This window comes from Homo sapiens, chromosome 8 (assembly GCF_000001405.40).
Source record: "Homo sapiens chromosome 8, GRCh38.p14 Primary Assembly".
Taxonomy (NCBI): Eukaryota; Metazoa; Chordata; class Mammalia; order Primates; family Hominidae; genus Homo; species Homo sapiens.
In genome coordinates, this window is record NC_000008.11 from 26,340,422 (window position 1) to 26,366,548 (window position 26,127).

The 26,127-nt window shown below is 36.2% G+C and overlaps 1 protein-coding gene across 10 annotated transcripts in view; it reads left to right on the forward strand.

Moving 5' to 3' along the window:
• Positions 1 to 26,127, forward strand: part of PPP2R2A (protein phosphatase 2 regulatory subunit Balpha) — an 81,173-nt gene that overhangs the window by 48,914 nt on the left and 6,132 nt on the right. For 8 of the 10 annotated variants that reach the window (NM_002717.4, XM_005273559.2, NM_001177591.2 and 5 more), the window contains 6 exons: positions 14,047 to 14,212; positions 19,748 to 19,860; positions 20,553 to 20,730; positions 22,263 to 22,427; positions 23,300 to 23,469; positions 25,894 to 25,985. In NM_002717.4, coding sequence (NP_002708.1) covers positions 14,047 to 14,212; positions 19,748 to 19,860; positions 20,553 to 20,730; positions 22,263 to 22,427; positions 23,300 to 23,469; positions 25,894 to 25,985 — 884 coding nt within the window. Of the gene's footprint in view, positions 1 to 8,544; positions 8,652 to 14,046; positions 14,213 to 19,747; positions 19,861 to 20,552; positions 20,731 to 22,262; positions 22,428 to 23,299; positions 23,470 to 25,893; positions 25,986 to 26,127 lie in introns of those variants that run through there. The other 2 variants (XM_047421935.1, XM_047421936.1) reach the window with 2 other exon arrangements.

A 26,127-nucleotide genomic window follows, 5' to 3' on the forward strand; every position in this document is an offset into this window, starting at 1 on the left:
CTCTGCCCTTGAATGTATTTTTTACTGAAAGTTATTGACTCTCTACACTTTACTTTTATTTTAAAGAAAAGTGTTTGAGAAAAACTCGTAAAAATTGATTTTGCCCTAGGCTTAACATTCTGAGGGTTTCAGAAAGTCTTCATTTTTAATGAAGGCATTGTGTCATTGTCAATTCTAAAATACAAGTTTGTCAATTAAAAGCTAATTTGGAACTATTTTGCCTGAGAATGAAGTCATTTTCATCTCCTGTGGTCGTTTGTTGTCCAAGTCAAAATCAAGTGTGGAAAAAATGGCTGAAAATTTTTTTAATTGGGGGAAATGTTTGTTTTAATATGGGTTTAGTAATGTAGTCAGAATATTAGTATTTAGTATTTTCCTAAAGGCTGTTAGTAATACATTAATTTGTAATTAAATTCCAAATTTAATAGTTACTGAAATTACTCATTTACTTGTATTAGAAAATAAGACAAAATTATTTTAAAGATAATCATTTCCCGTGATTCTTTTCTGAAACCCCACTGAAGATTCTAAAGTGCTAATATTTTAACTACATTTTCTTGTAAGAAGAATTGAGCAGAATAACTTTTTGGGAAGGGCCATTGATAGGAAAAATAGGACCTCCTTTTCATGTGTCTCATTCTTCTTAACTATATTTAAGAATTCTAGATGGAGAGTTTTGTAGAAACTCAGTAACATGTCTTTTGAGAATTACTTAGTGGTGTAAATATCAGCATGTTTTTAAGTGATAGATTAAGTAAAGATGATGATGGTGATTGACTCTTCACTTCTGAAACTTGATCTTGACTATTAATTTGGTGTGTTTTGCCTATTTAATTTTCTACATTTTAAAGCCCTGTCTTAGAGTTTCTAATACAGTATTGTCTTCAGAATCTATGTCATTGGTCATAAATATGTATACTTGACACTTAGAGGCACCTTTGTTTCAATACCTAATGTAATTGGATGAGATTTTATGAATTCACATCTAGAGGCACCTTTGTTTCAATACCTAATGTAATTGAATGAGATTTTATGAATTCACATGTATATATCTGTAAGATAGTGTTACAGTTTGAAAAGTGAAAGAAATAGTCCTTTCCTAATTTGTAGATAAAATCCAAATTATTTAACAAGGTTATATTGCTTCATTTAGTAGCAAAAATCAGGTTAGGATTTGGGTCTCCGATTTTCAATCCAACTATTATATGTTCATTCCAGAGTACACTGGTGCCTAATGTTTCTTAGACTCTGATGAGGGTGCTAGCCTTGTTTGCAGAATACACTGGCATTTGATCTATTGTGGCTTTATTCTCTTACCTAGTGGCAGGGTTCCTTCTTAAACTTGACTTTACTGGAGACCAAAATATCTCCACCCACTCATTTTTATTGTCTTTACTTGGAAGAAGAAGAGATCATATAACAGCAACAGAGAACTTGGCACATCAGACTTTGACATCTGTAACCCCTCATTGTCTGCCTCATTTATTTTACCCTTCAGAAGTAGCTAGTCTCCTTCCTGTGATCCAGGCGGGTATCTGTGTCCTCTTGCTGCCTGTCCGTTTATTCCCCAATCGTAATATAAAGAAACTGAGTAGCCAATTCAGAGGGTCTTCATTTGGTTTGAGTATGTTTCAGACTGATAATTGTTTAATATTTTTAGCTGTCATTTAATAGCATTGTTATAACTAATATATTTGTATAGGTATTCTGCTACACGGAATCTCTGTTGTAGAATCAGGGCACCTAAAGAAATTGAGGCACACAAGTAAAGTGATTTCCCTGATGTAATCACAGCCATCATGTGATCAGTGAGAGTCCAAAATTCTGATAACAAATCCAGTGTTCTTTATAGCATGACCCGATATAAGTGACCCATGTTATTTTTATAGCTTCTAATAGCTTTTGACAGCAAAGTAAATGATAGGGTATATTCTTTTTGTTAATGAAAATATTAATACAGGGTTTTGAGGAGAAGAGTCCAAACAGCTATTAAAGTGGATAATGATGTTCTCTAGGTTTTAGGGATTTTTGTTGTTTCCATGGGTGCTCAAATTAGGTAATTAGCAGTTGTCAAAGTAGCTGGTTTCCTACTGAGTTGGGTTGCTCAGACCTTCAGTTTCTCTGAGACTTTGTGATGTACCCTGTAAGGTAGTGTGGGTGTGTGGGTGCTGGGTTAAAGGGACAGCTAAGACAGAAGGTGAGGAGGGAGGTTGTACCTCTTTCCACTTCTTTTTATAATTTTTCTAGGTTGGTATGGGGCCTTTGATTTTTGTTTTCTAGGGCTGCTGGTAACTTTCTTGGATTTCATACCCTCTGGCTTTTTTTATTCTTAATGTGGTATTCCCAAAATTCCTTAACAGGATACAGAAGAAACCTTAAAAAGCATGCTTTTCACAAAAGGTGGATAGTATTGTTAATATGATAGTATTACCTTTCTAAATTATATATGGCTCAAAATGTTTGCATGTATTTAAAATGCAGATTTCTGGGTTGGGGGCCGTGGCTGATGCCTGCAGTCCCAACACTTTGGGAGGCTGAGGCAGGTGGATCACTTGAGGGCAGGCTGGCCAACATAGTGAAACCCTGTATCTAATAAAAATACAAAAATTAGCTGATCCTGGTGGCACATACCTGTAATCCCAGCTATGTGACTGAAATATGAGGATCACTTGAACCTAGGAGGCGGAGGTTGCAGTGAGCTGAGATGGTGCCTTTGCACTCCAGCCTGGGCAACAGAGTGAGACTGTCTCAAAAACTAATAATAAAAAATAAATAAATAAAATACAGATTTCTATCCTGCTCCTCAAGATTACTAAATCAGAATATGTATGTATATGGTGCATTCATAGAATGTAAGAGCTAACATTTATAGGGCTTTCTAGGGATTCTTAACTTTTTTGTTGTCATCCCATGGATTCCTTTGATAGCCTAGTAAATCCTGTAGACTTCTCAGATTTTTTTTTTTTTTGAGATGGAGTCTCACTCTGTTGCCCAGGCTGGAGTGCAGTGGCGTGATCTCAGCTCACTGCAGCCTCCACCACCAGGGTTAAAGCAGTTCTCCTGCCTCAGCCTCCTGAGTAGCTGGGACTACAGGTGCACACCACCACACCTGGCTAATTTTTGCATTTTTGGTAGAGATGGGTTTTCACCATATTGGCCAGGATGGTCTCGATCTCCTGACCTCATGATCCACCCGTCTCGTGATCCACCCACCTTGGCCTCCCAAAGTGTTGAGCGTGAGCCACCGTGCCTGGCCAGAATGTTTAAATTGCATAAAATATTTAAGATTATAAAGGTTGAAATAATTTACCAAAATATTCATAATTGAGTAATATATGTTTTAAGTGGATAACAGCTGGATTACGATATTAAAATGTCATTTCTGTTTGACAGAGTCACAAGAATTGCTAATACTATATGCAGTTTGTTACCTATGCCCATAATCAAAAGAAATGCTGAAATTTAGCTGGAGGTTAGTGAAAATAAATGTGTACATTTTCCCCCCATCCAGGCTTATAAAATCCCTGGGTTCTGTCATTGGACCCTTGTGTCCATGAGCCCTCAATTTTTAACCCCTGGTAGTGCAGTCTCCTTTTGCCAGCTGGGGGCCCAGGTACCAGATTACCCATCCAAAGTCATACAGTTAATAAGGAAGTGATTCTTCACTGCAGAAGCCACACATCCTGATTTCTACTGCATGGCTTTGCCCACTCTAACCTGGATGTAGTAGCAGCAGTTTATGTGCTAGGACCTCTGCCAAGATCCCTAAATCTTACTTAATCATCACAGCAAAATAACAAAGATGTATGTATGTTTACTATATCTTGATGTATTACAAATTTATAAATAAAATGAGATTTAGAGAGGATAAGTAACATTTCCAAGAGCACCCTGCTAGGTAAGTGGGTAAAAGCTAATTCTGTGTAAATTTGGATGAGTATTCACAATGCTGGCTATTGATATTAAAATAAAAAAAACTTTAATCCTGTTTGGTGTGATGAGCCTAATTGTTAGAAATCACACAGGAAAATCAGTCTCATTACTTTATACCTAATGAGGAAAGTACGTGATCCTTAGACTTTTTAATATGAGCTATTGAGTGATCTGTTTTCTGTCATAGGTGTTAGAGGGGAAAATGGACTAAGAGTTGAACAGCCTTGGTTCTAGTCCTGGTATTCATTTATGCATTTGCCCAGCCATCTCTTCTTGTTCAGCCTTTTAGCGTCCAGATTTCTGTCCAGACTGCCATCAGATTCTTGTCAGCTACCTGTTAATCTTTTGGGGCTCCTTAGGGTATTACATTTCCCAAAAGCAAAATATCATGTATTTTAAATATTTAAAATATCGGCTCAATGGGTACCTAATTTTACCCGTTGAGCAGAAATTTGAATTAACCATATTTCTTATACAGGGTGAGTATCCCTTATCTGAAATGCTTGGAACCAGAAGTGTTTCAAATTTCAGATGTTTTCGGATTTTGGAATATGCGCATGTGTACATAATGAGATATATTGGGGATGGGACCCAAGTCCTAAACACAAATTAAATTGTTTCATATACACCTTATACATATGACCTGAAGATAATTATACAACATTTTAAATCATTTGTGCATGAAACACAGTTTTGACTGTGACCCATCACATGAGGCCAGGTGTGAAATTTTCCACTTGTGTCATGTTGACAGTAAAAAGTTTCAAATTGTGGAGCATTTTGGGTTTCAGATTTTCAGATTAGGTATGCTCAACCTATCCCCAAGAAATTCTCCACCAAAAACAACTCCAAATCTATGAAATTAATAATGCCCAGTAATTTTGGAATTAATTATTTAATTAATAAACTTGGAATTTATTTACCTTTCCTTCTTCCTGTGCTCTCCCTAGCCTCACACATATAAAACATTTCATTGTATTCTTATTATTAATAATTTTTCCCTCTTAATTATAAATTCATTATGCTCGATGTAGATAATTCAGTAAATATGGATAAGTGGCAAAGAATGCATGTATAACCCCACCAAACAAAAATAAGAACTTTTGGTATATACCAAAGGCCTGTCTTTCTGAATATCTGATTATAAATTTAGGGTTGTATGATTTTTTTTCTCACATACTGTATAGTGAATACCTTTTCATGTCATTCAGTTTTCTGTATCACCATCTCTGTAATGACATGACATGACATAATTATGTTTATTTGATCTAGTCTCTATTGTTAGATTCCTAGATTGTTTATTTCTGCCTCTTTTTTCAGGGTTGGGAGGTGAGCGACTGCCCCTTTGCAGTTACTGTGTTTTTCCCTCTTTCTAAAAAAAGAAAAGTAGCAACTTGGTGATTGAAAATACATTATTTCATTGGATTTTGGTTTTACTTTACGCCTTAATACTCCCAATAATTAAAGCATCTTGTTCTATGCCCTCTTTTTCTAGTGGTGTATTTATTGAATTTGGATGGGCCACATATTGTGAGAGACGGCATCAGCTCTTTTTCTCACGAGGCATTATGTTTTTCAGCTTTGTTGATTGGCTGCCTTTAAATTTTATTTTACTTTTTGTTTTTCTGCCCACAGATTATTTAAACATTCTTTTGTTCCCTTTTAAATTTATTATTTAGTTAGACTTTATTACCCTACATTATGTGATGAAGTGATTTTTTTCTCTTCCACCTTCCCCACCCATTCACAGATTACCAGTCGGGTTATTATTATTATTATTATTATTATTATTATTTATTTTAGTTTTACAGAGTCTCACTCTGTCACCCTGGCTGGAGTACAGTGGCATGATCTCAGCTCACTGCAACTTCCACCACCCAGGTTCAAGTCATCCTTATGCCTCAGCCTCCCGAGTAGCTGGGATTACAGACGTGCACCACCATGCCTGGTTAATTTTTGTGTTTTTAGTAGAGGCAGGGTTTTGCCATGCTGACCGGGCTGGTCTCAAACTTCTGGCCTCAAGTTATCTGCCCACTTAGGCCTCCCAAAGTGCTGGGATTATAGGCATGAGCCACCACACCCAGCTGGTTATTACATTATTTATTGAAATTTTTTCACATGGATTTAAAATGCACATTAGATCAGTCATCTGCAGAGTTGTGTCTAGACTTCACTATATTTTAGCTTTTCAAAGTCTTATTCAAGGATGATGAACTCTGCTAGTCTTTCTACTTTATTCGTTCCTTCTTACAGTTGAGTTGTGTAGATAGGTTTTGAAATGTATTGAAATTGGGTTCTTTCTCAAATATCTCTCTATAGCCTTTCAGAGTAAATACTTGATCAGAATAGTTGTTGTTGCATATTTCTTAGTGTCTAGTTATTAAGAAGGATTTGACTTGTGCCTTTACAAAGGGGAATTTTCTAGCGAACTTCATCTGTAGTCAATTTATCAGGGGTATGGAGGACTTTCTTATTAGAATGTTACCAGTGGAAAGGACATTGAAGACTATCTGATCCGATCTTATTTGTTATTTCTCCAATTTGAGGCACAGAGAAGAGTCTGAAATCAGGCGCCTCAAATGTCGGGGTGTCATGCATTTACCTGCATCATGTTGTTTCTAAATGATAGAATTTGCACTTGATCCTTATCTGGAAGAGAAACTAATATTTGAACTTTACTTGCTTTTGCATTAAATTCCCAAAGTTATCCTGTCCTGAGAGAATAAATTGTATTTAACACATGAAGAAAACGTGATCCAGGGGATTGTTATATTTTATGAACTTCAAAGGGAAAGAGACACAAGTAGTAAAATGAATCTTTTTTTTTTTTTTTAATCTAACACCAGGTAGGGTTCATCTGAATCTTCTCTCAGAGAGAAACCAACTCCTTAAGGGTCCAGGTTAGATTGAAATTCCATTTTGAGAGAAACAAGGTTGGAGAGCCTTGAGATCTGCCTCCATTCCTTGGTTGTTGATAGAACTGGGGAAGAGCGCTAGCATCTGAGCAAGGCACAGTTTTCGTGTGGGGTGTTTGTGTGTGTCCACGCGCATGTGCATGGAGGGTTTTTTTTTTTTTTCCATTCCTTTCAGTAATGTGTAAAATGTAGAATAAATAAGCATTCCTCCTATGTAACTTTATCACTTAATCTGTAGCATAGTTTAGAACAGATATTCTAGCTAGTTTGATAATCTGAGTGAAAGCACTTTAACAACTTTAGGTTTTAAAGCATTATATTAATTGTATTTTATGCATTTCCTTTAAATTTTATTTGACTATCTTATAGACAAATAATAATGCTACTTGATTTGACTTTCTAATTGTTTCAACCAGGTATCCTTCATTCAGATATCTCTCCCACTATATTATTGTTTTTTTGATAGGATATTGTGACTGATACGCTTCCAAATTGCACTTAGAATAGTACATAATAGGCACTCAGTGAATGAGTATTAACTTACTGAACATAATTTAATAAGGCCTTGCAAAATCTTGAAGTGCTCCATGACTATCGTTATCATTAGTTTAGAGAAAGTTTTGAGATTTCTCTTGTGTTTATTTCATCGAATGACTTGTATTTTGCTTTATTCTAGAAAGTTCCCCATATTTTCTGAATGTGTTGAGAGTAGTTATCAGATATCATTTAATTTTGTTTTGTACCATTTCTGCCACTGTCCCTGAATGCCCATTTCACAAGACACTGACTCTTTTAAAATACTTTTATACTGCTATAAAATATAAAACAAATGACTGCTTACACTATATAGAAGATGAACATTAATAAACAGTAAGTTTTAGTAGGGTTCTATTTGGAGGCTTAAAAATATTCATTTATTTTCTGCTATATGAGATCAAAGTAAAATACATTTATTATTTTCTTAAATTTTTAAATTTTTTCCACGGAGCAAAGTAAATATTTCCTACATTTTTGCAGAGTTTCATTTAAGGAAGGAGAAAGTTAGTACAGGTTGAGCATTCCTAACCCAAAATCCAAAGTATTCCAGAATTGGAGACTTATTGAATGCTGATGTGATACCACAAGTGGAAAATTCCCCTGGCCTCATGTGATGGGTCACAGTCAAAACTTTGTTTCATGCACAAAATTAATTAAAATGCTGTATAAAATTACTTTCAGGCTATATGTATAAGGTATATACAAAACCACTGAATTTTGTATTTAGACTTGGGTCCCCTCCCTAAGATAATATCATGAATATGTAAATATTCCAAAATATGGAAAAAAATGTGAAATCTGAAACACTTCTGGTCCTAAGCATCTTGGATAAGGGATACTCAGCCTGTAAAAGCACAATGGAGTTACTTATATTTAGAAGTAGCTGTTGAAAAATGTTAAGTGAAATTCTTTCAGAAGTTTGCCTTTAAGTCTTGACTATTCTTAGTATGTTTATTGCAGAAAATAGGAAAAATGTGTATCATTTCCACAAAGAATAAAATCAAAACCATCCCATAACAGGAATGAAAAATGAAGACCTGTGTGTGTGTATGTATGTGTGGTTTTCTCAGGGATTTTTGTTTTGTTTTACAGAATGAGACTCATGTTGTACATATCACTTTGTAATGTTTAGTTTTATTTACTGTCAATGTTTTCTCAGGTTGAAATATTGCCTCCCAGTCAGGGAGATGAAGAGACTGTTGGAACCATTGAGTAGAAAGGGGCACTTGAATAGTTGGGAAGAACATACTCCATCTTATAACTTAGGTGACAAGGTTCAATAAACTTGTGGCTTGTGGGAACAGCTTATACTTCTACCAGTAGTATGTGACTTTGCCTTTCTGTCACTAAAACAATGGTCATTATCACATTTTTAATTTTTTGTTCATTTAAGGGAAAATAATATTGCTTAGTTTTGGTGGGTGGGTAGATGTGTGTGTGTTTTGTTGGGGATTTTTGTTTTGTTTTACAGAATGAGACTCATGTTGTACATATCACTTTGTAATGTTTAGTTTTATGTACTGTCAATGTTTTCTCAGGTTGAAATACTGCCTTCCAGTTAGGGAGACGAAGAGACTGTTGGAACCATTGATTGGGTTACTTCCACCTTTTGGCTCTTGAGAATAAAGCTGTAATGGGCATGGCTGTCCAAACACCTCTCTGAGGTCCCATTTTCAGTTCTTTGGGATAAAATCCAGAAGTGGGATTGCTGGATTATATGGTAGTTCTATTTTTAGCTTTTTTGAGGAATCTCCACGTTGTTTTCCATAGTGGCTGCAACATATGTGTGGTATATATTTTAAAATCTTTATTTAAATATACACTGAAAAGTACATAAAATACTAGCAGATTATTACATAGCAAACATTTAGGTCAAGAAATAGAACTTCCTACGCTTCCACAAACCCTTCTCTTTTCCCTTCCTCTCCTTTATGAGCCTGTCTTATTAATGATTATTTTGGCCTGCAGTTTTAGAACTTTGAATAGATGGAATCCACAGTTTATCCATTATGAGTAATGTTGCTGTGAACATTCTTACTCATGTTTTTTGCTGTACAATCATGAGTAGAAATATTATGCCCATAGGGTAGGCATTCACTGTTAGCAGACATCACAGTAAAAAGTTCTGCTAATTTTATTCTTGTGAACAGTATATAAATTTTATGGCTGTTCTACATCTTTGCCAGTGCTATGTGTTGTATTATCAGTCTTTTAAAATTTAACACTTTGTGGGTATGAATTAAGTTTGTATTTACTGTTTGTTTGTTTTTTTTTGAGACGAAGTCTTCTTGCTTTGTCACCCAGGCTGGAATGCAGTTGGTGTGATCTTCGCTCACTGCAACCTCCTCCTCCCATCAAGTGATTCTCCTGACTCAGCCTCCCAAGTAGCTGGGATTACAGGCATGCACCACCATGCCCAGCTAAATTTTTGTATTTTTGGTAGAGAGAGAGTTTCACTGTGTTAGCCAGGCTGGTCTCGAACTCGACCTCAGGTGATCTGCCCGCCTCAGTCTCCCAAAGTGCTGGGATTACAGGCATGAGACATCACGTCCGGCCTTGTACTTACTCTTGTGATTCACATTGAGATTGAGTAGTTGTTGTGTTGTTTTGAGACAGGGTGTTTCTTTGTTGCCCAGGTTGGAGTGTGCAGTGGTGCGCTTACAGCTCACTGTAGCCTCAAACTTCTGGACTCAAGTGATCCTTCCCACTTCAGCCTCCCCAGTAGCTGAGACTACAGGCGTGCACTGCAACACTTGACTAATTTTTTTTTTCTCTCTCTCTTTTTTTGGTAGGGATGGTCTCACTGTGTTGCTGATCTTGAACTCCTGACCTCAAGCAATCCTCTGTCTTGGCCTCCCAAAGTGTTGGATTACAGGCATGAGCTGCGACTCCTAGCCAGAGCTGCTTTTTATATGTTTATTGGCTATTTGGATGTTATCTTTTGGAAGTGACTATCGAAATCTCTTATAATTTTCTGTGTTGTGTGTCATTTTTCTTACTGATTTGTAGACTTTCTTTACACTTTTTGTAGATGAACTCTTTTTCAGTTACATTTGTTGGAGGATCCAGGGGCAGTGGCTCACGCCTGTAATCCTAGCACTTTGGGAGGCTGAATTGGTTGGATCACTTGAGCCCAGGAAATTGAGACCAGGCTGGGCAATATAGCAAGACCTCATCTTTTTTAAAAAACAAAACAAAACAAAACAAGAAAACCCACACATTTGTTAGAAGTATTTTTCATTCTGTGACTTGCCTTTTCATTTTTTTGAATAGTATATTTTTATAAATAGAGATTATTAATATAATACAGTTGATCAGTATTTTTCTTAGGGTTACTGGTTTTTCTGTCCTGTATAAGAAATACTTTTCAACCCCAAAATCCAGGGAAGACATTTCCGTTATCTTTTAGAACTGTATGACTGGTACTGTAGCTACTAGATCCATGTGGCTATTCAGATTAATGGGGAGTTGAGTCTGTTCTCTCTCCCCTAATGCAAGACCCTGTTGCAGTGGTCCCTGTCTCCATGGCCCTCTTTAAAGTCAGCCTTACTACCTTATAAATAAGTAAATAAATAAATTTAAATTATTAAAAATAAATTGTAGAATTAACTTCCTTAGTTGCAGTAGCCACATTTTAGGTGTTCAGTGTGTGCCTAGTGCTCAACATGACTAGTGGCAACCATACTGGACAACACAGATACAGACTATTTCCATCATTGCAGAAAAGTTCTCTTGGGTCCTGTTATCCTAAAACTTAATTATTGTACCTTCACATTTATATCTCTTATTCATCTGTAATCACTTTACGAGTGGTTTTGGGAAGGGGTCGAGCTTCATTTTATTTCCTATGAATAGTCAACCTAACACCATTTAGTGAAAAGACCATCCTTTCCCCATTGCCCAGCAAGGCAACCTTTGTCATCATTTAGGCCTGTTTCTGGGCCATCTGTTCTGTTTCATTGGCACATTGGTGTATCCTCATGCCAGTACACAGTCTTTATGACTTTGCTTTAAAACTTGGTTATGATGTCCTTTAGTGAATTCTGTTAGCATCTGTGTTGAAAATGTGTGATTTTGGTTTTGTGTCCTGTGTTTGTAATGTATGTAAAGTATGTGACATAGCTCATTCTAAATCCTGCTTTGAAAGTCTTTATTGAATGCCTGTTATATGTGCCAAGTACTGTTATAGGTGCTGGGGAATAAAGCACATCTAAACTTACTGTAGAAACTTTCATGCAAATAGATTGTATGGTTAGGAAGATGATTCTCATAGTGATCATAAAGGCAAGCAAGAAAAGAGAGGGAGGTGAAAATGCTGTGCAGGTAAAGCCAGTATGAATTGTTGAAGGATGTGTCACAATTCTGTATGACTGTAGGAGAGGTTTTTAAAACAAAAACATTGTGTTTGATTTTGATGCATTCTCATTTGAGTGGCTCAGTGTTGAGTATGCGGTTATGTGTCTTCTTATTCAGGCTTGCTCACTGTACTTTGTTTGTGCAGGGAACAATGCTATCATGATCATTATAATGTAAACATCCCCTCCCAAAGTGTTAGGAAAAGTCTGCTGCAGCTCCCTGTGGTCTACTGTCAGTTACCACTTGTACCCATCTGTTTTATAGCCTCTTCAGTTTTGTTACTGCTGCTGTCATTTCTGCCATTACTCTTTGTCCTGTGGACTTGTTTTTAAAAGTTCTGTTATGATCACTTTAATAAAGTTTCAGGAGAGAGGGGAGGCTAATGCATGTGCTCAGCCTGGCATCTTGAGCTTTTTAGACAGAATTTTCTCCTTTTGTGATACATTAATTTATTTCCTGTTGCAAAGAGATGGAGCTTCTTGCAGTCCACGAAACTGCCATATACCTCTATGATTTTGTTTTTGGATTCTGTAAGATACCATGTTTAGTAGACCTGTGTTGTTGTCCACGAGTCTACAGGAAGATGTTCATGTTTTGTTTCAGAAAATATTTCTGTTGTTTTGTGCTTTTCTTAACTCATCAAATACAATGTGTGGCTCGCCCTTGGCCCTTCATATTGCTTACCTTAATTGTGTAGACCATAACCAGTTTCTACTTTGACTAAAGTTTGACGTACACAAGTTACTTGAATGTGGGGATTCTGTCTATCCCTCTACGCCCTAGTGTACATAGTACTATATATTATAGTCTCTTTAAGTGTTAAATGAAAAACCAGTCTAAAATGCAGGATTTATATTAAAAATCGAGTTGCCTGCTTAATGGTATTGTGGTTTCCTTGTAGACTATAATGATAAATTTTGTGAGACTGGGTGAGTCATTTTAGGTAAAAGATTTGTGGAGCTTTAAAGTGATACTGGAGTATTTATATATGTTAATGGAATAGGCTGTCTAATTTTGTGTATGGGTATGGTGATGAGACCAAGGCTCTGAGTCTGATTTTTACCCCTTGTGTATCCCCGATATGTGGATCGTTTTGTGGGACATGTATTCTTAACATTGGCAGACTTGCCCTCTAATAACTGATAACTGCTGTCCAAGGGTTCAAATACAACCATCCATGAATGAACAACCCAGATCATCAGGCTGCTGGAAAAAACAACCCAAAACATAGACTTTCAAGATGATTCAGTGAAGTTTCCTTTTGATATGGAGAATAGTAATAGGCTGTTTTTATTATCAAGAAGTTCTAAACATTTCACTGGGTAACTCACTTTTACTTAAAATAGTTGACTGTCAATAATATCTCATTCTATTTTTTACTTAAACTTTTTCCATAGGTGGTTCTTTGAACTAGACTTTCAAATTTTTTTATGAAAATGTTTTTAATCGTGTGATAATAGGTCAAAAGATGAAATTCTGAACATGATTATAATTCTCACTTTTGCTGAGATATTAATGCTAACCAGAGTAGTTCAAAAGTAGTCCCTTTATGAGATAGCTTAAATTACATTTTTTCAAAGTGATACTAAATGAAATTAGTCATCAGTGTGTGCCAGGTTCATAAGATGAGAAAGCAAATTTAAGGCGAGTAAGCAGTTGTTGATGGGGGTGCATGGGGCCATTGCTGGGTAGTGCTGAATATGGACTTGATTGGTAGCAAAGCTGTCTGGAACAGTGGTCTTGGGGTGGGAGGTAGGGGTCAAATGGTATCCCTTCTTTTATAAGAGCTCTTTTTTTAAGCTTTCAGCAGCGAAATAACCAAAAGGCGGGCAGCAGAAAGGAAAAGGACAATACATCATATTAAATAACAGATCGGGGAGTTGACCCTAAAGTGGGCATAGGAAGAAGGTGTGCCTCACCTAGCTCTTTCTGGGCAAGACTTTATCATTATTTTTAGATGAACTTCCTTATTATGGGTGCTCAGTTTTTTTTCATCAGTTTTTTTCATAGACTATACCATCAAATACATAAGAGTAAATTAGCAATCAAATTGATCCATATTTAACGTCATTATTTCCCTAATGAATTGAGCTTATTTATTCAGCTTTATTTAGCCTTTTCCCCCGTTAAGTTTTCTCATTTAATCCTTGAAGGCCTTTAGAAATATAAAAAACAGAATGTAATTGTATAAAGACACAACTAATGGGGTATTGAGAATGTGCAGGGTCCTTTGGAATTGATTACATATTTGATTATTTTGAAATATTTTTCAACAATGGTCCATATATTTTTGTTTTCATTTTAGAACAAAATCCAGTCTCATAGCAGAGGAGAATATAATGTTTACAGCACCTTCCAGAGCCATGAACCAGAGTTTGACTACTTGAAAAGTTTAGAAATAGAAGAAAAGATCAACAAAATTAGGTGGTTACCCCAGAAAAATGCTGCTCAGTTTTTATTGTCTACCAATGGTAAGTATACATATTTTCTTTCCATGTGCCCACTGTGTGTACCTGTTGCACATATCCTGTAGCCTAGGAGAGGAATCATTTAACAGAGATACTTGTAAAAAGGACTTTTGTTTTTCTATACAGAATGTAAACTCTACTTTTTTACTGTCACTTGCAGTTTTTAGATTCTCTGAAAGATTCTCTGATAGCAATTTTTTGTTTACTACACCTCCAATTTGTAGTGAAAAGAATGGGCTGCTATACCATTGGATTTAGGTCAGGTAATATTTCTGTCATTTCTCAGTCTCGTAATCTTGGGCAGGTTACTAACACTGAATTGAATTTTCCTCAGCAGCAAACTAGAGATAGCAATTTTTTATTATAGTATTATTATGAATATTAAATAACTTCACATACATCATGAGTGCAAGTGCTCAATAAATGTTAATTTATTCCTCCTTTTTAAGTGTTTGTAAACTACACAGAGTATCTCAAACTGCAGATACAAAATACTCAAAGGATGGTCTCCATTCCAGGATACGCTATAGGAGAGCACTTTCTTACTTGATCACCATTAGCATATTGCCTTCTTCCCAGCAATCCACATGGCTGGAAGGAGATTCCTCTCCTACTGTTTACTTGCCAAGGGAACATTTTTTGTTGTTTTTTGAGACAATGTCTGTCGCCCAGGCTGAAGTGCATTGGTGTAATCACAGCTCACTGCAGCCTCGACCTCCCTACCTCAGTCTCCTGAGTAGCTGGGACCACAGGTGAGTGCCACCACACCCGGCTAATTTTTTAAAAACATTTTTGTAGAGACTGGGTCTCCCTATGTTGCTCAGGCTGGTCTTGAATTCCTGGGCTCAAGCAGTCTGCCCCGCTCAGTCTCCCAAAGTGCTGGGATTACACGTGTGAGCCACTATGCCTGGCCCAGGAAAAGTTGAGTGAGGATTAAAAGTTAGTAATGACAGGCCGGGCGTGGTGGCTCACGCCTGTAATCCCAGCACTTTAGGAGGCTGAGGCGGGTGGATCACGAGGTCAGGAGATTGAGACCATCCTGGCTAACATGGTGAAACCGTGTCTCTACTAAAAATACAAAAAAATTATCCGGGTGTGGTGGCGGGTGCCTGTAGTTCCAGCTACTGGGGCGGGGGTGCTGAGGCAGGAGAATGGGGTGAACCTGGGAGGCAGAGCTTGCAGTGAGCCGAGATCGCGCCATTGCACTCCAGCCTGGGCAACAGAGCGAGACTCGTCTCAAAAAAAAAAAAAAAAAGTTAGTAATGACTCTACCAGAATTTGAAATCCTTTATGATGAGTTGGGTGCTTTCTCTTTGTTCTTATGAAAAACTTTTTCCTGTGAATTGTTTGGACTTTGTTGGGGTCTTGAGTCTAAAGGGAATCATTAGAGTGACTGAGGAGATACTTTAGTTTCTGGGTAGCCGTAGTCTATAAAAATTTGTGATTAAAACTTTTTTGAGGTTGGTGCTAGGGTGAGGGGAACCTCTTATTTTCTCATCCCCTCACTATTAATTTAAAAAGCAAATTCTAACACCTAGACCATAAACATTTGCAGAATATATACTTAAATGACTTCAGGATGAAATGGGGGAAGAAATTCAGCACTTCCTCCATCTAATTGATGCCCCTCGTCCACAGTATTAGTTCTTAGAAATGCTGTTCACAAATGCCTGATGGCCATCAGCGTTGGCCGCCTCCTGGGTGCCCGTTTTTCTGATCATGAAAGCTTTCCCCAGCCAGTCCATTGAGATGCGTACCCTCTGCCTTCTCTGTTTTCACAATAGACTGCATTCCCCTCTCTTGTCCTTATTAGAAGAAAAATAAAGAGAAGTAACTATTTAAAGCCTGTAAATCACAGCACTATGGGTGGAGGGAACAGTTTATTCCTGTCATATGCTAGCTTCTAGTCTTGGGTCAGTTTTAATTTATATGGTAAACTAAGTTATTTCAAATAGCTTCAAATATTTTAGACACTGTTCTTTGGCATCAGATGATACATAATTAAACCATTTATATAATTTCTACTTTTAGAAGTAAATGTTCCTAGGGAAATGTGTTGTTAACATTTTATATATTGGAATATTTTTATGTCAGTTTATTTCTTATAGGGCTACATCAGCTTTCTTATAAAGAGAACTTTTTAAATGTAGGCTGAGTTCAAGAGAATAGTATAGTGAAGCCCTGCATGCTCATCATCCACTTCTGACACTCCTCAGTTCATGGCTAATTTGTGTCTCGGATCCTTCCCCTTCCCCTCCTCCTCAGTGTTATTTCGAAGCAAATCCGATTACAACGTCTATGGATTAAATCTTGTTTAAAGACATTAGAGAATGCATTGTAGATTTTTGTCTTTTGTTTCTTAATACTAAGTAAAATACAGCTAACTGGGGGCTGCATTTTTTAATGCTAAAATAAGTGCTTAATAATAGAGTCCAATGTGGAAGGATAAAGCAGATTATGAGAATCATATGAACTGTTGTGTCTGGGTAGATGGGAAAAGGATGGGAGGAGTAGGACTTGAACTATATCTGAAAAACTATTTGGAAAGAAGGAGACTTAGAGAAAAATGTCAACATCTGTTGATTCTGAGTGATATCTTTTATATTATTTTGTGTATTTTTCTCTGTGAGTTTTTTCTGTGAGCATAGTAACACCCCCCCCCCCCAATATAATGGGTCTATATAAAAACTATATCTGTGGGAGAATGATGGAAAATAGTACCAAACTTTCCAGGTTTGATTAACCAAAATTAATCTTATAAAAATATTTGCATTGGCTTTCCATGATCATTATATGAACTGGGTTTCCCAGATCATTTTTACTTAAAGGACGTCATAGTCACCTTATAACTTGAGTTAATTTAATGTTCCTTCAAGCATTTTAATTCTCTTTCTCTTTAATCTTCTTTTGCTCCTCTGAATTCTCATTAATTCCTCTACATTGCAGAAAACATGAAACTGACCTGTCAACCATGAGTGTTACATATATGAATAATGTAAAGTTCACTCATAAATAGGGTGTGTCTTAACAACTTCTTGATAAGTTTTTTAGGGTCTTACATAAAGCTGCATTCCCACAAAGGAAACGGCAGCGTGGTTTTCCCTGCTCATACCTCTCATACCTTCTGCTTGTGGTGAGAGGAACTCTGTTCTTCTGCAGTTTCTCCAATGCTTTAGTTATTAGTGTTGATAATTCAGGGGAACACCACAGTGTGGTCGTTTTGGAAGGAACAGATCTTGAGAATCTAATAACGTCTCCACTGAAAACTGTGTTTTTACATAATCTCACATACAGTTTTATGGAGTTTGATTATTCTCACATACTTTGTCTTATGGGCCAAAAACTCCAGGTAATAAAATATCACTGCTGTAGAACATAAGGATTCTGATTTTTTAAAAATTTATGTCATATTTATTAACATACTGATTTATTTCCTGCCTGCCTTGTCCCCACCTTACTGAAAAATGTATCCTAATTCATATGTGTCCTGTGTTTGTGTTAAGGAAAAAACATTTTTTAAAGAGCTTTCTTCCTGTAAACACTATTAGGCACCACAAACTAATTTTATCTCATCTGAAAGTTTCATAAATACATTGTGGTTTCTTTATTTGGATCTTTAATAAGGAGGATGGATTTAAACAGGCCACAAGACAACTGGACCAGGGGGCGGGGGTGTTGTCATCCTCATCACAAATACTTTGCAAGTATTTAGAACAAATACTTCTCAGAATACAGATTTAGGCTAGGCTCATATCTATCTATAAATCATATACATATATAAACTAAATAACACATAGAAAATCTGTATGACTGAACTACAAGAAAATTATAAGCAAGGTCACATAGGGCTTAGAAGAAATAATAGATTACAGATGATTAAAGTTAGCAGTTTTTCTCTGTTTACACTTCATCATTGGGAAGGGCATCCTTAGGGGCAACTATCATTCTTCTGTACGATACAGAGACTGCCAGGCTAGAGTCACTGGCATCTCTCTGAGTTGTTTCTGTTTTTATAAAATGGCTTTATATACTGTTATAAACAATTTTGTTACACCATTTTGCTTATGAAAGATCGTTAGGAATGTATGCTTTTCTATAAGAAAAACTGTTATACAATTGTAACAGTTTTAAATCAACATGCATGAGCCTATAGTGATACAAATAAACAATTGAATGGATACATGGAGAGCAGGGATGCTTCCTGCAGGAGAATTCTAAATAAGACGTGGATACATACTCTTCCCTACAGGGAGTATAACTTATTTCTCCCTTTAAGTACAGGCTGGATTTAGTGACTCACTTCCAAAGAACAGAATATGGCAAGGGTGAAAGAGTCATTGTATAGTGGAGAAGCCTGGCAAACATTGTCTTAACCAAATGACCCAAGTTAACGCCACCAGCTGTAAGTCATGTTGATACCATGTATCCCTTTGAACAATGCTGTGAGAAGTCACTTCATCTCTCTGTTCTGTTCCTAAAAACCCATGGTCCCAGTCTGATCATGAGGAAAGAGCAAGCAAATCCAGTTGAGGGATATTCTACAAAGTACCTCACCACCACTACTCAAAACTGTCAAGATCAAGAAAAATAAGGAGAGCCTGAGAAACTTAAAGGCAGAGAGACTAAGGAAACTTGATGACTAAATGCAGTGTTGTTTGAATTCTGGAGCAGAAAAGGAATGTTAGTGGAAAACCTGGTTAAATCTCCAAATGCAGTCTGTAGTTAATAGTAATATACAAAGTCGACGTCTTAGTTTTGACACACGTACCATGGTTGCGTAAGATGTTGACAGAAGAAACTGGGTAAAGGATATATGGAACACTGCAATTCTTGTAACTTTCTGTAAATCTAAACTTAATTGTAAAACAAAAGTTTGTTTTTAAACAGATGCCATTTTATATATCCTTGATACCTAGGAATTTGGTTTCTTCTTGAAGGACTTGGGGATGTATGCTTTTAATCAGTTTTCTTCAGGCCCTGTTTCCTACTTGTGAACCCTGATACAAGAAGGGGAAAGGTTTTAAAAAGGAGGCATCCAGTCCTATGGAGGCCTCTGTGGAATCTTTGATAGGCTCTGCTAAGAAGTGGGAGCAAGGGAGAGCAGCTTTACTATTTTGATTCTACATAATAGGCAGTCTTAATCAACTTCATTGTTCCCTTTAAATTTTTTAAAATTCAGTACTGAACATGTATATGTTTACATGTAGGTACAGACATATATGTGTTTGCATACACCACACATGCATATCAAGTTTTTCCCTCTAGCTTTAATTACTTTTAAGGGACAGGGATAGAGACCTGTCTGTGACTTGATTTGACTATCACATGGAATTTATGAGTGCCACCAATCTTTGCACTTTATTTCCATGTGTGTATGTTATTCAGCTGATAATAGGAAATTTTTTAGTAAGTTCAGATTAGGGTTTTTTTTTTTTTCGTGGAATCCTTTTACGTGAAATGTGAAATAGCATATTTTAAATGCCTTAAAATGTTTTTCTTCTTCAGTATTTTAAGGACTTTTCTTTATTTTCTTCCCAGATAAAACAATAAAATTATGGAAAATCAGTGAAAGGGACAAAAGACCAGAAGGGTATAACTTGAAAGAGGAGGATGGAAGGTATAGAGATCCTACTACAGTTACTACACTACGAGTAAGTACATAAGAAAAAAATGTCACAGATAGTGCTTGTATTCATATTATATAGCCCAAATCCTGAGCAGAGCTTGAATAGGAATAATTACAGTCTATCTCCCCTTTCCCAGTAATTCTGTAATCAGGTAGGACATTGAGTAACTCATTTAAACATAGAAACTGACCTACATAGAGGTCTCACTTTGGCCAGGGACAGAAGCAGGACTCAAGCACAAGACAGTATTTCACGCCATCAGACTTCATCTCTGGTTTGTCATGTTAGCTATCACAAGGTCAAGTTTCAAGATAAATTTTCTTTGGAAATCAAAAAAGTAGATACAGATCAAATCTTCTAGTTGTAGCTAAAAAATACCAAGAATTAGATGTTATGGGTTAATTTTCTTTTTAGCCTCTTTAATCTGAACCATAAACATTTATTAGCTTGGCATGTCTTTCAAGCAAAATATTGAAACTAAGAACTGCAAATTCTAATAGTATTGCAACCAGTAAAAGAAGATATATTATCCACATTGTTCATTTTTTCTTCAGCACTCGAAAGGATCAACATCAGTTGCTTTTTAAAACTAAATCTATGTAATATTGTTCTATTTTATGTTCTCAAAAACTGAAATAATGAAGTTTTCTGAATCTTAATTGCTATTTGAAACTGAGCCTTTTGTAATTTCTGTTTTTCATGTGTCTTATTGACAGGTGCCAGTCTTTAGGCCTATGGATCTAATGGTTGAGGCCAGTCCACGAAGAATATTTGCCAATGCTCATACATATCACATCAACTCAATTTCTATTAATAGTGATTATGAAACATATTTATCTGCAGATGATTTGCGGATTAATCTTTGGCATCTGGAAATTACAGACAGGAGTTTTAGTATCCATTTGGTTTTCTTTGGTGTTTGGTGAAGAAGGCATGTTGTGCCCATATTAGATTTATTTCATCTCTCCTAATGAATTTGGTTGCTTTTTATAGTCTGTGTACATATATGTATGGCACCTTATTTTTTTCTTTGTAGATGAGTAATGAAATACTGGAAAAAGTTATTTGCTAAACATAAAGGGCATAATGTATTGATTTAAAATTGGATTCATGGAATTTTAAGGAATTTGTCTATTGTATCTATGTAAATAGGATTATTTTTTATAATTTAGGTTTTTGTTTTAAAAATCACATTTGTGAGGTCTGTGTATGGTAGCTTATGCCTGTAATCCCAGCGGTTTGGGAGGCTGAGGTGGGAAGATCACTTGAGGCCAGGAGTTCAAGGTTTACAGTGAGCTTGATTGTGCCTCTGCACTCCAGCTTGGATGACAGAGCAACACCCTGTCTCTAAAAAAATTTTTTTTCTTCTAATCAAATGTATGAACTACTGTATTTGAATTTTTTATTGTAAAAATAGTCTCACCTGGCTGCGGTGACTCAGCCTGTAATCCCAGCACTTTGGGAGGTCAAGGTGGGTGGATCACCTAAGGTCAGTAGTTCAAAACCAGCCTGGCCAACATAGTGAAACCCCGTCTCTCCTAAAAATACAAAACATTAGCCGGGCATGGTGGCGCATGCCTGTAATCTAAGCTACATGGGAGGCTGAGTTAGGAGAATTGCTTGAACCTGGGAGATAGAGGTTGCAGTGAGCTGAGATTGTGCCATTGCACTCCAGCCTGGGCAACAAGAGTGAAACTCTGTCTCAAAAAATATATATATATAGATTTATATATATTATATTAATTGATATTAAGATTAGATTAAGATTAGATTAAGATTAATCTTAAGATTAGATTAAGATTAATTTTAAGATTAGAAAAAGATTAATAATTAGATTAGATTAGAAAAAGATTAGAAAAAGAAAGATTAAAGATTACGATTAGATTAAGATTAGAAAAAGAAATTCACGCAAGTCATGATGCATGATTGGGTAAATAAAAATATTCTATTGAGGCCGGGCACAGTGACTCATGCCTGTAATCCCAGCACTTTGGGAGGCTGAGGCGAGGCGGATGGATCATGAGGTCAGGAGGTCGAGACCAGCCTGGCCAACATAGTGAAACCCCGTCTCTACTAAAAATACAAAAAAAAAAAAAAATTAGTCAGTTGTAGTGGTGTGCGCCTGTAATCCCAGCTTTTCTGGAGACTGATGCAGTAGAATCGCTTGAACCTGGGAGTCGGAGGCTGCAGTGAGCCGAGATTGCGCCACTGCACTCCAGCCTGGGTGACAGAGTGAAACTCCGTCTAAATAAAAATTAAAAAAAAAAGTTTTAATCCCTTTGGAATTTATACTCATAAAAACAGTGGAGTGCAATTCAGAATTAATATTTTTGCTTAGGTCCATGAATGGGTTTTAGGTTTGAGAAATGTAGAATTATATTTGCCCTTTTTTCTAAGTGGAAATTCCTTAATAAAATGTTATCTAGACATTGTGGATATCAAGCCTGCCAATATGGAAGAGCTAACAGAGGTGATTACAGCAGCAGAATTTCATCCAAACAGCTGTAACACATTTGTATACAGCAGCAGTAAAGGAACTATTCGGCTATGTGACATGAGGGCATCTGCCCTCTGTGATAGACATTCTAAATGTAAGTTTATTGTATCTTTCCTTAAAATGATTACATATTCTGTTTGTCTGAAATAAGCCTCAGACATGATAAGTACAATTACAGAGGTTCAAAGTCTTAAACCCGTGTGTCCAGAGCCACTTGTACCCTTGGTAATCTGCCTACCTCCTCATGAGGCATTCCAGGTTATTCCTGGAAGCTCTCTTGGGGGGCATGTCTATTGATTGCCAAGGAATATATCTCTCATGGAATGCTGTTGTTCTTTGGTAACTTGCGGTTGGGCTCTGTAACCTTGTATTGAAGTAGAGCTGTTCCTTTCTTTCCCATCCTCCCTTCCTACTTTGAGCTTCCTAGGAAGATTTCTTCTGAGGTTTCCTTGGCTTAAAAAAAAAAAAAAAAAAACAACTTTGGTTTAAAAACTTCAGGATACAATATTCTTGTCTTGTTGAATATTAACTCATGAAAATTGATACATGCCTGTTACCAAAATAATTTTACCTGGCTACTAGAAAATAAGATCCTGGTATGAATTTGGGATGGGCGAGGATGGTGTGTTTCTCATGGTGATGATACAGGCAGTCAGTGAGGCATATTGCAGGAATAATACCAATAAACCTGGTGCACTGAAGTCAGAAGTCCCAGGTGAGTCTGGTTCTAAATTAGTCATATGACTGGAAGTATACTGCATACTTATGCATCTTCAACTTCAATATTCAATTAAACTAAGAAGCTTTCAGGAGAATTCTAGCCAGAGAGATGTTTTTCAGTTCTTTATTAGCCTGGCATTTTACCTCACTTGTAGGGAGTTTGTGAATGGTTGTTTAGGAAATGCTTTGTCCAAGCCAGAATATTGTACACCTTGCCCTTTTTGTGTTGTTTTGTTTTGTTTTTAGTGTTTGAAGAACCTGAAGATCCCAGTAACAGGTCATTTTTTTCCGAAATCATCTCCTCTATTTCGGATGTAAAATTCAGCCATAGTGGTCGATATATGATGACTAGAGACTATTTGTCAGTCAAAATTTGGGACTTAAATATGGAAAACAGGCCTGTGGAAACATACCAGGTATTTGAGTTTTTTCTTTCAATGAGCATATACCCTGTTTACTTTGAAGTGTTTATAGAGAAGGATTTTGTTACTAGGTTTTAATCCCTGTATGGTGTTTGTTCACCATTAGGCCTTTTCCCTCAGAGATCTATGAGTATGTTGCTCTTCCTTATGTTAAATGTATATATACTTACATAGGTTGTGTTGTCTCTTGAGTTTTGCAGTTAAAGTGTGATTTTGCTACCCATTTGGTTCAGTATTGACATTGTTTTTTTTTCTGCCACTATGTACATTTAAAGTGAGGATGGAAGAGCACCCTTCATTGAGGTCTGGGCAGGAAGAGGATTGGAGAAAGTGGCCAGTCCTTAGTAGAGGTGCACCTGCTCAGGTTGTGGGAGTAGTTGAACTAGAGATTAAATTTGGTGTGCCAAGTCAAATGGACTGGTGTTCTGCCTTTTGGCAGATAACTGTTGTCTTCAGCTAAAAGAAAGGGCTTGAAAGCCTTAGCAGATGGCTTTAGGAGTTGCCTATCCGTTGTTGGATGTCAGTTCTTGATTCTCTTATCAGCCAGCCACTACTGTTTATCCGTGTCCACTACATCAAACAGAAGAGAATGAAGTACACAGCCTGGAACAGGGTGAGGGACAGCACAAACCTGTGCTAGGCCCTAGACTGCAGTGTTGAAATCACTTAACTCTAATTTATACATATACTTTCTTTATGTTATATATTCTCAATAGACTGGGAAGTATGTTTCTCAAACTTTAAATCCTCTGACAAACATAAACGAAGATTGTTTTTGATACGTGAAATTTCAAAATAAATACTGCACTGAAACAAAAGACAAAATACTGCTTTGCTTTTCAAAGTATAGTTCACTATTGAGCAACATGGATTTGAACTGCATGGGTTCACTCATACACAGATTTTTTGTTTTGTTTTGTTCAACCAATGCACATTTGAAAATACAATATTTGAGGGATGCAAACCCCTCAAATATATGGAGGGCCAAAACTTCACGTGTGGGTTCCGCAGGGCTAACTGCAGATTTGGGTATACCTGGGGTTCTTGGAACCCATCCCTCGTGTATACTGAAAAAAGACTTCTATTTGTGTAACTGCCAAGATTGATATATCTCCTAGTTACCCTCACCATCATTTCATTCCCATTGAGAAGAATTGATTTGAAGCTTAGCTTCATACTGATGTATAGTGAGAAACTCTATAATGTGCATTCTAAAATGTTGCTAAATTATGATAATCTACCTAATTTTACCTGATTTGCTACTTTTCTACTTATAAACAGTTGGAGTAGTGATTAAAAGTAGTCACATTATAGGCAAATGTATCATATATAGATAAAACTATTTTTATTGAATTTGTACCAGCATCTTGCCAAGTTTTGTGTGATTGAAGGGTATTTTTTTCTTACTGATTTTTTTGTGTTACATGCTCACTTTTGATCCTAACCCCACATGAGTTGCTATTCCTCTGTATTACAGATTTTCACTTAATGTCACAGAGACATGGCCTGAATCATTCCACTATATTTAAAGTTAAAATAGACACTGAAAATAAGTTTAGATTGTTTCATATAGAATAGAGAATTCTAAGCATTTAGAAGGTACCTTCTCATTTCTGTCATTTCTCCTTAAGTAGCTCCTTAAAAAGAGATGGTGAAATATAGACACTTCCTTTTTTCCTTTGAGTTACAACAAATACTTTGGAACTTTTGTTTGTAATTAATATTAATGTTGAAATATGTCATATTTCTCAGACTTTTTAAATATGAGATTTCTAGTTTATCCTTTTTTGACATATTAGTAAATACAGAATTATATAATTCAAAAAACAGGCACAGCTTTGTTAGCTTTTGACATTGTATAATATGATACTATCAAATTTTTAATAATATATGCCCAGAATAACCATATAATTTATCACCAAACCAAGGCATGGTTACGCTATGCATACATGTGCATTTATAATGGAAAATATAGGCTTCAGTTAAATTTATGCCCAGAAAATGGTATTTAAGAAAGAAATAGGCACAGTTTCAGTGTTGTTATCAGTAGTTAATGGACTGAAAGCCAAGAATAGTGATATTCAGATATTGCTATAATGTTCTTTTATTAGTCTCTTAACTGTGCCATTTTCAAGTGTTTTTGGCCTGAATGTTTTATTCAGGCTTATAAAGGCTATGTGTGCCATGCCCAGAATGGAGTTTTCCTTTGTCATACCAGTAGGAAAATGTACCTCCCTGAAGGGCTTGTGTGTTTTGTAAAAGGACAAAATGCCTTTATTGTTACTGAGAAGATTGAGATTAATAGGTTTAAAAGGTGTGTGTATGTGTCTGTATATGCCCTTTTTTTCTTTTTAAAGATATGGACTTGTTAAATCATTTTCCTAATTTCAGTGCAGTATATTTGTATTTTTCCCCCAGGTGCATGAATACCTCAGAAGTAAACTCTGTTCACTGTATGAAAATGACTGCATATTTGACAAATTTGAATGTTGTTGGAATGGATCTGACAGGTAATTAAGTCAAACCTCTCAAATATGAATTTTATTAAAGAAAAGAAACAACTATTTCATTCCAGGTCCTAACTTCGTCTCTAGGGATTCCTTGAAATAAATTTAGTAATTTTAGATATAGCACAGCAGTACTGGTAGATAA